The sequence below is a fragment of the Homo sapiens genome, chromosome 5 (assembly GCF_000001405.40).
Source record: "Homo sapiens chromosome 5, GRCh38.p14 Primary Assembly".
In the NCBI taxonomy this organism is placed as follows: Eukaryota; Metazoa; Chordata; class Mammalia; order Primates; family Hominidae; genus Homo; species Homo sapiens.
In genome coordinates, this window is record NC_000005.10 from 130,855,928 (window position 1) to 130,873,671 (window position 17,744).

General features: G+C 38.1%; 1 long non-coding RNA gene across 1 annotated transcript in view; it reads right to left on the reverse strand.

The window, feature by feature from the left end:
• Positions 1 to 15,500, reverse strand: part of LOC107986449 (uncharacterized) — a 72,898-nt gene extending 57,398 nt beyond the window's left edge. The window contains exon 1 of the long non-coding RNA XR_001742881.1: positions 15,282 to 15,500. This is a non-coding gene — a long non-coding RNA (uncharacterized LOC107986449). The remainder of the gene's footprint in view (positions 1 to 15,281) is intronic.
• Positions 15,501 to 17,744: the final 2,244 nt, after the last annotated feature.

Sequence of the window (17,744 nt, forward strand, 5' to 3'; positions counted from 1 at the left end):
AGAGTGACCAACTGTGACAAACACAAAATTAGGGTACATCTTGGCTCACAGCAATGCCAACACCACCATATTTGTGCTGTTCCACTACTCTGCTGCCCATGATTGGTGAAAATAGAGGTTAAAAACACTAGAAAAAAGTCGGATGAGTCCATGCCTTTCTCCTGAGAATCTGGAGTTCAAACAGAAAGACATGGGGCCCCATGGGGACATGGGCCAACTCATAAAAAGAGCAGCACCCTAACATTGGTTCCATGTACTTCAGTTACTATAGTCCCAGACCCAGCCTTTGCCTCTGCCTCTGAAAACCATAATTCCTTGGTTTGGGGCATGGCCTTTTTTTTTTTTTTTTTTTTTTGGTTTGTGTAGCTACCTCCATTTTCGGCTTGAATTACCCAGAGTCATTTTTTTCTATTGGTTGCAATAAAGCAAGCCTTGCCCAATATAGCTCTACAGTATAAATGTCATGGAATGACGTGAGATATGATTGGGTGTGAGCCACAGAAACAACTGAGCAAATGATGCTAAATGAAATGCCCCACTCCAACCGCAAAGTCCCAAATAGAAGTAGGGAACAAACATTAGTCTTGCTCACTCCTAATTAGGAGATAATTGATAATGAACCAAAAGGCACATAGAAGGTACATTTATATGTAGTTTTTTTGTGTTTGTGCTTAAGTTAATGATTTACAAATTTTATGTACTTTATACTAGAGTTTTGGTCTAGTTCCTCTCGAAGAGTTAATGAAATTTATCCTTCAATGCTTAGAGAGTCCAGATCAAAATGATGCCTAAAACAGATATTGCTATTTGGAGTGTCTATAGTCATGCAGATAATACAGATGTAAAATAAATTAGGTGAGTCTAATGATGAGGACCATGGGGGAGAAAACACAATGAAATGAGATTATGCATTTATTTTAAAACACTCTGAACTGATGGTGATCCTCTTTAATACAAGTGATATGTGGACCCCAAGAGGGCAATGATCTAGTGAATATATATTTGCAAGATAGTTTTCTTAGACATGTGCACCAGTTCAATGTATATTATGCTGGCAAAATACATTTTCAAAACTTACCTTAAGTTTTGAAGGTAAGTTACAAGGATATCAGCCATTCTGTGCAATCATGCTTTCCATAAGTTTTATGGTAAAGCTGACTATTTCATTGCAAGACACAGAATAAAAGTGGAATCGGACTCTTGGAATCCATTAGGAAAATAGTATCAGCACTGTGAAACTGGAACTCATCAAAATTTGTATTTAAGAAATGTCTAGGGTTTTTTCTTAGAGCTTTTATATATTTGTTTTCAATTAACTTTTCCATATAATTGCTGATATATATGCAATATAACTATAGAGGCTTGCTACTTCCCTATGGTTTATATTCTGCAATATACATAGAATTAATTGTCTTGGGTCCTAATTTTGTTTAACTCATATCCTGAATTATTGACATTGCTAAAGTGCAGTTATTGTTCATTTTGGAGAATCTTAGCTAAAAATGTTTCATTATGATAAAGCTTTAATACATAATGTACATAATGATTTTTAATAACCTCAATAAGACCAGAAAAGATTAGAAAAGATCTATAACTGTTTAATTCAACCAAATGGAGATATTATGTTTTGTTTATTGCTCAAATTTTATTTCTTGACAAGATGATTAAAAAATAACTTTTATCTTGCTAATTGTTTAGTGAAATAAATAATATTTCATTTTTTCGGAAAACCTTGTATAATACTAAAGAACAACATTACAAACCATATTTATAAAAACCAAAATGTTGTAACAGTCTGTGAAATGTGGGATGTGATAGGCATATTGTTCAGTTGATGAACTCAACAATGGAAATGCATTTGATAACAGGCATAGTTATTGTTCAAAGATTAATGAAGAAAGTTAAAAATAAAGCCCCACACATTCCTTTCTTCTGATATTTTAATGTAAAAAAGGAGAGAACACAGTTGGGACACTATTGTGTACTTTTTTACCCAAAGATGATGCAGTCATTACTCACAACATTTAACAAATCAAAATTTTAATAATTTACATAATAACCATATTCAGATTTTTCAAAGACCTTTCACATACATCTCATATTGGATACTAAGAAATAAACAATGACTTTCAATAAGTAGTATTTCCACTTTAAAATGAGGAATTTGAAGTTTAAATTATTTAATGTTCTTACCCAAGACTGTGACCAGTAAGTCTTGGGTAAGAACTTATACCCAACTTATACCAGCTGGGATTTATACCTTTCTTTTCTGGCTCTAAAATTCTGTTTTCTTCACTATGTCACATATAGTGTTGCCACAGACAAAAACTTTTTTTTTAACTATCCTTTTGTAATTTCCTTCAAAATCAAGTTATGAGCCGTGAAAGAAGCCTATCTCATTACTATATACCAAAGGTCTCAGATTTTTGTGACAAGTAACTATTTTTCATTTCCAAGAAAACTTCACATTATAAAGATAGGTACACTATTAGTGACAAAAAAATTCCACAGTTGTAGGGAAAGGTAACTCACTCTTTTCATCTAGTGATCCAGTCATTATTTCAATGAGTATTTTTTTTTTTGCCTACTCTGAACACAATATTGCATATAATGGTGAGAATTTAGTAGTGAACAAGACAAAACTATCTCACTGAGCTTACAATGAGTGCAATGGCAAAGTGGAACAAAAATAAGCAATTAAATAAATTCTGATAAGTAATCTGAAGAGGTAATACTGCTTCTAGATGATAATATTGGAAATGTTTTCAAACTATGGAAAGAATAACTGTGCTGTCATCCCAGCCATATAAAATATAAGAAAAGAACAGAGTGTCGAGTCACATAGACATTGAAGCTGCACTCTTTGGACTTCAATATCCTGATTCTTAGCTGGGTGACTTTGGAGAAGTTGCTTAATTTTACAAAACCTCCATGTCTTCTCATGGGGATACCTCAAAAGCATAACCAGGTGGAAAATGCATTGAGAGGAGATCAATGCATTCAAAAAGATCCATAAAATTCATCTGTGGGAAGTGGGGAAGAACCAGCAAGCCTGGAGTTGCCTGGTCCTCCAGTCATCCTAGAATGTAGTTGCTTAGCCAACAGAAGTTGAGAGTGGAAGTTCTGTCCTCTCTCACAGAAAGATAACGCAAAGTGTTACAGAGGAACGACAAAAAGAAACGGAAAAAAGACTCACTGAATGTCAGAGAGAGTTGGGGAAATTTGGCAACCGCTGAGCCATAAAAGTTTCAAGAGATTAAGGAGAAAGATATTTAAGGACATTCTACTCTGTTTAATTAGCTGTATTCCTGTTAATATTCATCTCTGAGAGATCTAAGTAAAACTTGAGTGTTGTGTTTAATTACATTTGTTGGCTGGACAATGTTTATTTGGAAGTTACACAATGTAGAAACTGAACCACATCGGATCATACAAGTTGGTGATACACCCGGGTTGATGTTATAAGATGATTAGCATAGTGCTTCTCACAAAATAAGCACTCAAAAATTAAATGGTATTGTCATTATTCACAATGTATTTCAAATTTACGAAACTTAGAAACTCCTATTTTTATTATTTTTGTCAGAAGACAGAAGAAACTATCTGCACAAATTCTAAGAAAAGCTACAACACATGAACATCAAAGCTCTTTGCTTTCTATAGCTGAAACAAAGAGAAAAAATAAGTAGATTGTGCAGGTTTAATTGTCTAATACAACAAAATAAGTGTGTAGAAGAATAAATGTATTTACCTGGTTCTGAGTGCTGAAAGAAATTAGTCATAAGTCCTCCTTTACATAAGGACTAAACAACATAATGCATAATATCCTTGACAAAAGTTCTACTTGCAAAAAAGTGCAGAGATGCTTCACATACAGCTATTTATCATACCTCTCCCTTTGAAAGCTTTGAGAGCATAATAGGTTTTCTGAAAAGGCAATTCCTCTGGAATATAACTTTCTGGTGATTTGCCTCATCACTGAGATAGATCCTGGGGACATTTTGACCAGTGAGCCTAAACCAGACCTACTGATTCAGAATCTCCAAGGTTGAGGCCCAGTATTACATATTTTTAGAGTTCCCAAGATGACTCTAACTACCAAACAGTATCGGTGAGACTGCTAGTGGCTCCCCTCAGATCCATTCTCTCCTTTGCACTTATAGGAATAGAACCCTTGATTTCTGCTGCACACCTGGCTACCCAGAATAAGAACTAAATTTCTCAGCCCTGTATTTTGTTGCACATCACCATGTGACTAAATTTTATGCAACAGACTGTAATAAGGAGTGATGCCTACCCCCTCTGAACTTGTTGTTACAGGAGAAGCCATGCCAGTTCATCCCTCCCTCATCCTACTGCTGCTTGACTGATGGTATAAAACCTGGAGCTCTGTCATTTACCGTGAAGAAGGAAATAATAAGCAAGGAAAACAGAGAGAAAATTATGAATGGCACCTGGTCTCTGGATAAGATCATCCAGATTCTCATGGACATCCCTGGATTGTAAAAGTAGAATCACATTCTTCACATAAAGAGGATGCTTCTCTGGTCTGCCGGAACAATACTGGCCATTTTATCTAAAATCTGTACATAACCTTAGAAAGAGGAATGTTATCACCCATACCTGACTTAGAATTTTAAATACAAGAATATCCTCTATTAGAAAATTCTTACTGTCTATTTGAACTCCCATAGTATATCTTTATGAAAGTTGTGTAAGTGTCTTAAAAGGTTCAGATCAAGGTTGAGATTAGGTGACTTGACCCCAGACTATGTATTTCTATTAAACCAAATGGAATAGAAAGCCAAAATGCAATAAATGTCAAGAGAAATTTTAAACCACATTTGAGTAGTTTACTATTCAGTAAAGAGATTAAAATTTAAAATTAGTGTCTCTCTCTCTCTCTCCTGCTCTCTCTCTCTCCCTCCCTCCCTCTTGTCTCCTTTCCTCCCCTCTGTTTCTGTGTATTAATGCATCACTCCTATAATTTATAAAGAAAAAAAGCCAACACTTATGGAATATATTTGAAAGGATACTTGGAAAATCTTGTCTCACCAGCCTAGGTGAAATCTTGGCTATTTTCTACAGGACAATACCGTCTTCATCTGGAAATGGATGGATTTAATATGAGAAAATGATGCCTCAAAATATGGCCATTCCATTTCTAAGAGTTAATTTATATTAGTTACACATGGAAGGGGAAAAGTTTGGGTTATTTTTCAAAATTTTTTAAGTCCTGAGAAATTTGACATGTTTTTTACTTTCTAATGCTTCTATGAGTAAAAGAGGTATCCCAAACTAGAAACAAAAAGTCATCACTGGATGTCACCATTGTCAATTCTTTTAGGTATGAATGAGGGAGACTGGATAGCAGTGAAGACTGGACCTCAATATATTTGTTTCTAGCACTAACATTCATGATTCCATGATTCAGCTGAAAGTATAAATTCGAATATGTTTCTTTTAAACTCAAAACAGATGAACAAAAGTAGTCTCATGACATCCCACCAGCCATCATTAAGCTGAATCTTGCACATGGGAAGAACAGGTAGTTGCTTAGCTTCCAAGCCCATCTTCACAAAAGTAGGAGTTGAACTGATGCACGGGAATTGAACTCATTGTAATTCTTAGGTAGGACAAAAAATGGACCTCTCCAGCCTGTGGAAGGTCAGGCATACAACACACAAGATAGTGCCTACAAAGACTTGATATTCACAATGAAAACCAAGTTAATTTTCAAGCCTCATGGCAGTGTCCCCTTAGTATTATTTTTGGTCAGATGTCCTCTAACATAAACCTAAAATTATTTTATAAATTGCTTTTTTGTGAACTTACAAAGAAATAATTTTATTCTAGGTATCAAAGATGTGTATGTGATTTAGCTTACATATTTGAGGAAAACATAGACACTTCATTCAAGGCCTTTCCTTTTTCCTTTTATATTGAAATTTTAACTTTACTTATGAACTCTCAAAAGCTACATTTAATTATTTCTGGTTTTTTGGATTTTTTTTGGCCACTCAACGTTCTCTTTGGCAGGTGGAAATGAAAAAATCTATATCCTATTAAATACTTAAATAGCTAACAAATCGGTGTGGAGAGAGGTGAAATGAAAGAGAGAGCCCAGTTCCAGGGACTCTGCCATGTAAGTTTCCTACTCCCAGAATAAGGACAAAATAGGAAATGCATTTGAAATTGACTGTCAAGGTTCAGAAAGTGTGGTGGAGACAGATGTAGTGTAACTCATTTAATATTTACTCAACAGGACAAGTCAAATAATAATTTTTCTGATTAAATTGTAATTTGAAAAATCATTAAAAATAATTTACCGTTAATACCAACTACAGAGAGCTTTTATTTTTTCCATGAAACATTGTCAATTGCCTTGGCATTGGCAGCTCTCACTGTGCAAAAAAAGAAAGGAAAAGAAAAGAAAAAAGTAGTCTTGGAAATGGAGTACCTGTAAAGCCAATCCCAGAGCTATTGGAAATAACTGGGGTTTCACAGGGGAGAGAAGAGAAAGTGAAGGGGGAATAGCGCTTTATAAAACCAAGTCAAGCTCACTAAGCTTGACTCCAACAACTCATAAAACAGTTGCCCAACTGATCATTTGATCTACTTCTCTAAAATCTATTAATTATTTCTCAGACTCACTTTCCATTCCTACTTTCTCTAGATGTCCAGCTTTAGCATTTGCACACTTGAAATGTTTCTTACAATGTCTCTTGGGTAGTCTCTTACAAAAAGAGTAAAGTTAATCCAGAATGTTTAACCTAATTTCTTTGAGCAACTAGAAGCAAACAGAATTACTTTACTGTGCTGGGTTTGTAATGCCTAGAAAAAGATAGCTAAGCCAAAACCTGACATTTAATTAGTGAAAAATGTCACTTTAAGGAAAATTAAACACAGCCCATGGAGTACTGACCCAGAACCTAGGCAAACGGACTTCTACCCTGATTTTGCCACTCCTTCATTACTACTCAGCAAAAATCACTTTATTTATTTAGGCTTAAGCCTCCTCATCTTGGGAAGAAATACTTACTAAAACAAGTATTTCTTAAAGTTGCTTCTACTATAAAATTCTACAAAATAAAAGTAGTTTATTGATTATTAGAAGTGCTTGTGTGTTTATCAAATAGCTTGATTTTGATACCTCATCAATAAAATTAATCCTAGTACCTTACACTAAAAAGAGCACTTGGATATTCAAATGTTGTAGTGTGGACATTCTTTGCCACCTCCTCAGTGGGAATCAGGGGTTCACCCCAACCTTTTTCATGACTCTAACATCTAAATGTTCTTGAACATAGGGTCTTGTAAACTTCTTCCGAAAAATAAATATTTTGATGAATGGGCTTGACCTTCCCAAGATCCCAGCATATTTCAAAATTTCAAAATAAATAAACATTAATACATTACCTCATTATGAAAGTAATGTTTGCTCTGAGAAATTCAGAAAAACAAAAAACTAGCAAGTGAGAACAGTTTTTTCACAATTTTATGACTCAGAGATCCTATTTGCTATTGTTTACCCCCTCACAATCTTGTAGATGTGTACAAATTAGTTGTGATTTCTGGTTATATTAGTCTGTTTTCACATTGCTATAAAGATACTACCCAAGACTAGGTAATTTATAAAGGAAAGAGTTTTAATTGACTCATAGTTCTGCGTAACTGGGGAGGCCTCAGGAAACTTATAATCATGGCAAAAGGCAAAGCAGGCACCTTCTTCACAAGGCAGCAGGGGAGAGAAGAGAAAGTGAAGGGGGAACAGCACTTTATAAAACCATCAAATCTCATGAGAACTCACTCCCTATCATTAGAACAGGATTGGGGAAACCACCCCCATGATCCAATCACCTCCCACCAAGTCCCTCCCTTGATATGTGGGGATTACAATTCAAGATGAGATTTGGGTGGGGACACAGAGCAAAACCATAGCATTCCACCCATGGCCCCTCCCAAATGCCATGTCCTCACATTTCAAAACACAATCATACCCTCCCAACAGTCTCCCAAAGTTTTTACTTATTCCAGCATTAATCCAAAAGTTCAAGTCCAATGTCTCATCTCAGACAAACCAAGTCCCTTCTGCCTAGGAGCTTGTAAAATCAAAAGCAAGTTAGTTACTTCCAAGAAACAATGGAGGTACAGGCATTGAATAAATGCTCCCATTTCAAATGGGAGAAATTGGCCAGAATAAAGGGGCCATCCAAGTCCAAAATCCAGCAGGGCAGTCATTAAATCTTAAAGCTCCAAAATAATCTCCTTTGACACCATGTCTCACATCTAGGGCACACTGATGCAAAGGGTAGGCTGCCATGGCCTTGGGCAGCTCTATCTCTGTGACTTTGCAGGGTTCAGCCCCTGCAGCTGCTTTCATGAGCTGGCATTGAGTACCTGTGACTTTTCCAGGCATACAGTGCAATCTGTCAGTGGATCTGCTATTCTGGGGTCTGGAGGATGGTGGCCCTCCTCTCACAGCTCTTCTAGGCAGTGCCCCACCAAGGATTCTGTGTGGGGACTTCAACCCCACATTTCCCTTCTGCACTGCACTAGCAGAGGTTCTCCATGAGGACTCTGCCCCTGCAGCAGACTTCTGCCTGGACATCCAGGCATTTCCACACATCCTCCAAAATCTAGGTGGAGGCTCCCAAAACTCAATTCTTGAACTCTGCATCCACAGGCCAAACACCACATGGAAGCCACCAAGTCTTGGGTTTGCACCTTCTGAAGCAGTAGCCTGAGCTGCACCCTGGCTACTTTTAGCCATGGCTAAAGCTGGAGTGGCTGGGACACAGGGCACCAAGTCCCGAGGCTGCACACAGCACATGTGCCCAAGGTCCTGCCCCCATTTTTTCCTCCTAGACCTCCAAGTCTGTGATGAGAGGGGCTGCCATGAAGGTCTCTGACATGCCCTGGAAACATTTTCCCCATTGTTTTGGTGATTAACATTCAGCTCCTCATTATTTATGCAAATTTCTGTAGCTGGCTTGGATTTCTCCCGAGAAAATGAGGTTTTCTTTTCTACTGCATAGTCAGGCTGCACATTTTCCAAACGTTTATGTTCTGCTTCCCTTTTAAACATAAGTTTCAATTCCAGATCATCTCTCTCTGAAGTTCAAAGTTTCATAGATTTCTAGAGCAGGGGCAAAATGCCACCAGTCTCTTTGCTAAAACATAGCAAGAGTGACCTTTGCTCCAGTTCCCAAGAAGTTTCTTATCTTCATCTGAGACCCACCTCAACCTGGACTTCATTGTCCATATCACTATCAACATCTTGGTCAAAACCATTAACAAGTCTCTGGGAAGTTCCAAACTTTGCCACATCTTCCTGTCTTCTTCTGGACCCTCCAGACTGTTCCAACCTCTGCCTGTTACCCAGTTCCAAAGTTGCTTCCACATTTTCAGGTTATCTTTATAGCAGCACCCCAATCTCTGTGGTACCAATTTACTGTATTAGTCCATTTCCACAATGCTATAAAGATACTACCTGAGACTGTGTAATTTATAAACAAAGGAGGTTTAATTGACTCACAGTTCCACATGGCTGGGGAAGCCTCAGAAAACTTATAATCATGGCAGAAGGGGAAGCAGGAACATCTTACATGGCAGCAGACAAGAGAAAACATGTGAAGAAGGAACTGTCAAACACTTATAAAACCATCTTGTGAGAACTCACTCTTTATCATGAGAACAGCAATGGGGAAATATGCCCCCATGATCCAATCACCTCTCCCCACGTTCCTCCCTTGACATGTGGGGATTATGATTCAAGGTGAGATTTTGGTGAGGACACAGAGCCAAACCATATCACTGGTAAACTCAAAATGTTATAATACTGATTATAAACATCACATTTCTTTATTGTAAGAATAATATAGACATATTGTATATGGCTTAAAAAGCAAGGGGGAAATTCAAAGAAAAAAATAAAAACATCTAAAACCTTATTTAAGAAGATAAACAATTGTCTGCAGAGGAACAGGAAAAGCTCTAGAAAGGGGGTTCATTCTGATCATGTTTAGCCATTGGCATCCTGATCCCATGCATTGATTACTGTGTGGGAGGAGGGATCATGATCATCATGATGGGCCCACAGATGAGACAGTTCAGCTATGCAGACCTAGCTTCCAGATGTTTGTAGAACACGAGTCATATTTAAGCATTTATTTTAAAAATTCATGTCTCCTGTTTGTACTTAAGCCCTATCTTCACTTTCACACAGCTGAATATTTGTAATTATCTTCTATGTTTGGCATTCAGCTGCAAAACAATAAAAACACAGGATACACATAAAAAGATGACAGGCATTGGACACACTGGCCTATTTTTAACTATTGTATGTCTGTATGCATATAGTTTACAAAGCGTGTATTATACTCCATATAATGACCCAACATGGGGTGTTGGAGCTGAGGCTCCTAAAAGGGCTGTAACGTCAGCTCTACTAACTAATACCATTTGCAATCTTTAGGAAGATGATGTAAATAAAGTTCCTAACTGATGGATAATTTGTCCTCTCAGTAGTCATGTCCACATCTGTGTCAGACTTTGACTACCACTTGTTTCAGCAATTCTACAACCACCCACACATTTGGCACCTCCATAGAAGAACTGATGGACCTTAGTATAGATTTGCACTCATGGCAAATATTTTTTACAACAACACAGCAAGGCTACACAGCCAAATCGACAAGGCATAGAACACAGCAGACAGAGTCTGGTTACATTCACATGCAGGCTTCCTATGCTCTCCCAGAAAGGGCCACACAGAGCTCACTGCCCCTCCAACAGTGAAATACAGCAACATATGTATAATGTTTCTGCCAGTAAAGCCACTGTAGGACTCAGATCTCAAGGTTTTTATATGGGACTGGTCATATAGGCACTCTCTGCATAGCCACAACTACTAAAATTCTAGACTCCCAGATTGAAAGCAGGTAGGTGGTCATCCTAAATCTTATTATCTAGGCAGACTGGTAGAGAGGCCTTACCAGCACCATGAACATTTCAAGGTCAAGTTTCCAGATGCCAGTTCTGCCTTTTGCTGGCAGTTTTACTTGACCTCTTTTAGATTCCATTTTCTCACTCATTAATTGGGTGATATAACAAGGAATATAGTTGTGAGACCCCAGTCCTCATGGAGTACGTAGTACAATGCCCAACACATAGCATCTTATGCTAGCCATTATCATTACAGAGTTGAACAAAATTATATTAAATATTACTTTTAATAAATCAATGTTACAAAACATTTAATATGAGTTTTAAAGATACTGAGAAGAAATGTGCAAGCTCCTTTGGTAATAAAAATAGGTATTATGTTGATTTATGCAACTCTATTTGTCTGCAGGTTTAGTGGGGTTTTTTTTGGAAGAAGGTACTTTATTTAACAAAGGCCCTATAACTGTATCCCCACTATTTGAAGGGTATAAACATTATGAGCAAGTATTGGAAAAGAGCAACATAGGTAAGTGACTTAAATGATCCTCACATTTTCAAGAGATTTCATTTGAATCATGGTGTGAAGGTTTGCTTTTCCTAATACTGGGAAAGTAAAAGCAGCAGAATAAAAATGAGCTGAGTAGTTCTGCAAGGTCAGACTGCACCCCTGTACTCATTGGTGTCATAAATGAGAAAACATGTCTTTTGCTTATTGAATATTTTAATGTGTCAGTTAATTGGCTTTATGCTTTTATTTCATTTAACCCTCACAACAACCATGTGAATTAGGTATCATTATCTGTACAGATGAGAGAACTGTGACCCAGGAAATCTAGATAGCATGTCTAAGGTAGCCCCAGTAAGAACAGGTCTAGGAATTCAAACTTGGAAATGTCCAGCTGTGGCCAGGACTCTTCACCACTTTGTCATACTGCTTATCTGGACCTAAAAGAGCTTTGCATGTCCAAAAGTTCACCCATGCTAATCACTCTTTCATGTCGCCTTTACTTGACTCAAAACATTCAAACTGCTGGACAAAGAGGAAAGCAGATTCTTATTAACCCAGAATGTAAGAGTTATTCAAAGGTTATTTAATTATTATTCTGCTTTTCAATTGACTTCCCCCAAAATAACTTCATACAGATGTGAGATTTTTTAATGCCCTTGCTGCAGCTAGTTTTATATAAAAAGATTTGAGGTGATCTATTAGGAAGCAAAAATTTTAAACAAACAAAAGATATAAAACACATGCATTTGGGAACCCAGAAAGACCATTTTATCTAGACTTCCTTTTTCTAGAGAAAGTACATTCTTTGCATTGTTCTCTCCAGAAATTTTGCCTTGATGCTATATTCAAGGTGCACAAAACACACACACACACACACACACACACACACACACATAGTTTAAAAACAAAGAATGCAGGAAATTCAAAGCAGCATAGTCAAAAGCCCCAGGGAACTTTCAGTAAGCCAATGCATTCCATGACTACATTTCTGGGTTTTAACAGGAGAAAATGCACAGGACCTAAACCCCTGAGATCAGTGTCTCCATTTCAAGGTCACTTGTGTAATGCAGAAAAACATCACCCTGTTTTAAACAGTGAAGAAGGAAAAGCAGGACTCAGCATGTCGGGTGTGGAATAGCAGCAACCAAAGAATCTGTTTTCCAAAAATTAAAAACAGGAGCATTAACCATGCAGAGAAGTTACAATCTCATATAACTACAACAGTACATCTGGTCTGTGACCTCAAGAAGCTAAACTAATTTCTGACTTAAGGGAAGTATTGACATATTTCTCAAGCTCTGCACTACACATAGGAACCCATGGGAGCTGAACCATGGAAAATGTTCCAGAAGCTACTAGTTTTAAATAAAAGCATCCTAAGAGGCTCCAGGGAGATTTTGGAACTTTTTTTCAAGTGATTAAGTGCTATCAATGTCACATCACAGAAAAATTTTGGGGAAAAAGCCTCTAACATGGTCTTCCCCATTACTGTGTTGCTCACTTTTGATTTCTCTTTAGATTATCACCAAAGAATAGTTTTCTAATTAGTGAGAGAGTGCAGGGCTCAAGAAGAAATTCTAAAATGTTTGGACCACGTATTAGTTCATTTTCACACTGATGATAAAGACACCCAAAACTGGGAACAAAAAGAGGTTCAATTGGACTTACAGTTCCACATGGCTGGGGAGGCCTCAGAACCATGGTGGGAGGCAAAAGGCACCTCTTATGTGGCGGCAGCAAGAGAAGAATGAGGAAGAAGCAAAGTGGAAACCCCTGATAAACCCATCAGATCTCATGAGACTTATTCACTATCATGAGAATAGCACAGGAAAGACCAGCCCCCATGATTCAATTACCTCCCCCTGGGTCCCTCCCACAAAAGGTGAGAATTCTGGGAGATACAATTCAAGTTGAGATTTGGGTGGGGCACAGCCAAACCATATCAGGCCAAGAGAAAAAATAGATGATCAGATAGATATATAAATAGAAATATAGACATAAATATAGCTAACACATTCTTCATTACAGTTGAAGGTAAAGACATCCTTCATGTAATATTTATTTCCCTTCAGAGAAAAGTATATTTAATTTTTAACTCCATAGAGCTGCTACAATCGTTTTTTAACCCATGCCCAAAGTCAAGAACTGTACTTATCTATGGCCTTAGGCAACCAGCCACTGCCAGATGTGTATAAATGTCCAGACACATAGGAAAACAGGGCCAAAATGGAGAAGCCTTCAGATGAGAGCCAAGAGAGGGGCAATCTCATAGGCTTTAACATCTTCCTTCTACCATGAATGGATTTGATGTTTCTTGGTGATCATAGGGTGACTATAAGTTCTGGGGTGCTCTAGACCTGTTATCCTGGCCCCCTATTACTCTCAAAAGTACTCCAGTTCAGATATAGTGTCTTAACCATAGCAATGCTTCAGAAATTGCTATAATGACATATATTATATCTACAGAGGAATATGACTATATATGCCCACTATTGCCATCTACAAAGCCTTTCTAAACAAAGATTTGAAACCAGGTAGTGCCTGACTTACCATAGAAGTCCAGTGGCATTTTAAGTAACTTCAATAAGAACTGACTCTAGGCCGGGCACAGTGGCTCATGCCTATAATCTCAGCACTTTGGGAGGCCAAGGCAGGTGGATCACCTGAGGTCAGGAGTTCAAGACCAGCCTGGCCAACCTGGTGAAACTCCATCTCTACTAAAAATACAAGAACTAGTCGGGCGTGGTGGCATGCACCTGTAGTCCCAGCTACTCAGGAGGCTGAGGCATGAAAATTGCTTGAACCTGTGAGGTGGAGGTTGTAGTGAGCTGAGACTGCACCACTGCACTCCAGCCTGGGTGACAGAGCGAGACTCCATCTCAAAAAAAAAAAAAAACAAAAAAACTGACTCTCTTATAGCTTGCCAAGAGGTTCTGGTTTAATGGTATTATTTATTTGTCTTACGAGTTTTGTTAGTCTAATTCCTTCTGGATCACAGTAGTTGTAGACCACAGAAATTTCTGCTGTTCAGAAACTGTCATAAAGCAGCACTGATGTTTACTTACTGCCCATCAATGCTTCTCATGTCAATCTTAAAAGAACCAGTAATTATACTGACTAGTGTGTTAGTTATTCAAAAGAAACAAATATGGTTTCACTTTAGTTCTTCTGTTTTCTCTTTTGAAGTTGTAGTCAACATATCAGGATTTTTTTTATTAACACTATAATTCTCATTACATTATTTTAACAGTTTTCAAAGTAACATAAGTAATAGGGCATATAAGAAAAATATTCAGCCTTCTTAAGGCAGAAGAATAAAAGTAGCTAAGATTTGTTGCGTGCTTATTAAATCCTAGGAACTGTTCTAAGTCATTTATGCATTAACACTCCTCCTTGGGGGACGACATCAGCAATATGGCACAATAGGAAGCTCCAAACCATTCTTTCCCCCTACAGACAATGATTCAACAACAACACATGGACCAGACCCCTTTGTGAGAAATCCAGAAACTAGGTCAGAGGCTCCTGCACCCTGGGGAAGCATGAAACCAGTCACATTGACCAACAGGAAAATTTGTGGCACTCACTCAACAGAGCCCATATCCCCAGCATAGCCCAGAGTGATCCTGAGGTAATTCTCAACTCCCAGCTTCTTCCTGAGGGAGGGAAAGAGAAGACTGGAACATAGGCCTAATATTCAGACATTTTGTGGGGCTACCCAAGGGACTGGTTTCTGTCTTACATGAATATGAGCATGGACAAGAAACAGCACCAAGTTGGGACCCACTAAGAACAAAGGTGATGGTAAGAATTGTAACAAACTCACCTGCCATCCTCCCCTACCCCCAGTTCAGCACAGCACAAGTGGGAGAAAACTCCTAACTCCTGACTTCCTGCTGGGGAGGAAAAAGAGTTGCTGTCTCTATCCGACATTTCCAGCTTTTCAGAGGGCTGCCTGCGGGTCTGGCTTCTGTTTCATCCGTTTTGGGTACTTGTGGGTTGCAGCATATTTTAGATGCCTGGGAATCACTAAGAACAAAAAACAGCCGAGTAGCTTACTGCTGCTCCAAGGACCTATGGTGCAGAGGACAGAGGCTGATGCAACTTGGCAGCTTCTCCCCTCAGGGGGAAAGGAGGGAGTGGAACATGTGTCCAATGTTCCAGCTTCTCCAGCATCTGCCTGAGTAATGAATTTCTGCCTAACCTGACTAAGAATGCTATTGGGACCCTGACAGGGTGCCACTAAGAATAAAACCTGGGTGGCCAATGGCAGCTCCAGAGAACCTGTAGTACTCCAGACAAACACCAGAGGGAGGACGAGATAATGAGCTTCAGAAAAAAGAAAACTGGTCATTAAGAATTTACATGCATAAGTCTGGAGAAGACACATTACCAAAAAATCTTTGAGAAGTCACCAGAATCACTAGCCAGTCGGATTTGTGAAGGTCCCCGTATGAAGCCAGTAAATACTGGGGGAGGTAGTTCTTTTTTCAAATGTGTGCATCCAAACACAAAGTAACAAGGCATCTAAAGACACAGGGAAACACGGCCTAACCAAAGGAATAAAATAAATCTCTAGAAACCGACTTTAATGAAACCCAGGTATATGAATTATCAAGGAATTCAAAATGATCTTCATAAGGATGCCCCATGAGCTCAGGAAAACAGCAAAGAGATAGAAAACACTACAAAGTAACAAACATAAAAAATTTGGAGCTGAAGAACAAAATAACTGACTTTAAAAATTCACTAGAGTGATTTGAAGCAGAAGAAAGCAGGAGAAAGAATCAGTGAACTCAAAGACAAGTCATTTAAAATTATCCTATCAGAGGAACACAAAGAAAAATGAATGAAGAAGAGGGAAGAAAGCCAAGGACTATGAGTCACTAGCAAGCACACCAATATATACATTATAGGGTCTCAGAAGGAAAAGAGAGAAAGAAAGAAGTAGAAGAAATAATGGCCCAAAACTTCCCAAATCTAAGAAAGAAAATGGACATATAGATTCACAAAGGCCAACAGAGTCCATCATGGATGAACCCAAAGAAGATCACACTAAGACACATTATAATCAAACTGTCAAAAGTCAAAGACAAAGAGAAAATTTTGAAGGCAGCAAGAGATGCTTGAACTCCCATGTTCATTGTGGCATTATGCACAGTAAGCAAGAGATGGAAACAATCTAATTGTCCACTGACAATTGATGAATGGATAAAGAAAAGATGGTATAAATATATAATGGAATAGTATTTAGCCTTTTAGAAAGAAGAAAATACTGTCATATGGTACAGCATGGATAAACCTTGAGGATGTTATGCTAAGTGAAATAAGCCAGTCACAGAAACTGGGACAAGACAGGGATGCCCTCTCTCACCACTCCTATTCAACATAGTGTTGGAAGTTCTGGCCAGGGCAATTAGGCAGGAGAAGGAAATAAAGGGTATTCAATTAGGAAAAGAGGAAGTCAAATTGTCCCTGTTTGCAGACGACATGATTGTATATCTAGAAAACCCCATTGTCTCAGCCCAAAATCTCCTTAAGCTGATAAGCAACTTCAGCAAAGTCTCAGGATACAAAATCAATGTACAAAAATCACAAGCATTCTTGTACACCAATAACAGACAAACAGAGAGCCAAATCATGAGTGAACTCCCATTCACAATTGCTTCAAAGAGAATAAAATACCTAGGAATCCAACTTACAAGGGATGTGAAGGACCTCTTCAAGGAGAACTACAAACCACTGCTCAATGAAATAAAAGAGGATACAAACAAATGGAAGAATGTTCCATGCTCATGGGTAGGAAGAATCAATATCGTGAAAATGGCCATACTGCCCAAGGTAATTTATAGATTCAATGCCATCCCCATCAAGCTACCAATGACTTTCTTCACAGAATTGGAAAAAACTACTTTCAAGTTCATATGGAACCAAAAAAGAGCCCGCATCGCCAAGTCAATCCTAAGCCAAAAGAACAAAGCCGGAGGCATCACGCTACCTGACTTCAAACTATACTACAAGGCTACAGTAACCAAAACAGCATGGTACTGGTACCAAAACAGAGATACAGATCAATGGAACAGAACAGAGCCCTCAGAAATAACACTGCATATCTACAACTATCTGATCTTTGATAAACCTGAGAAAAACAAGCTATGGGGAAAGGATTCCCTATTTAATAAACGGTGCTGGGAAAACTGGCTAGCCATATGTAGAAAGCTGAAACTGGATCCCTTCCTTACACCTTATACAAAAATTAATTCAAGATGGATTAAAGACTTACATGTTA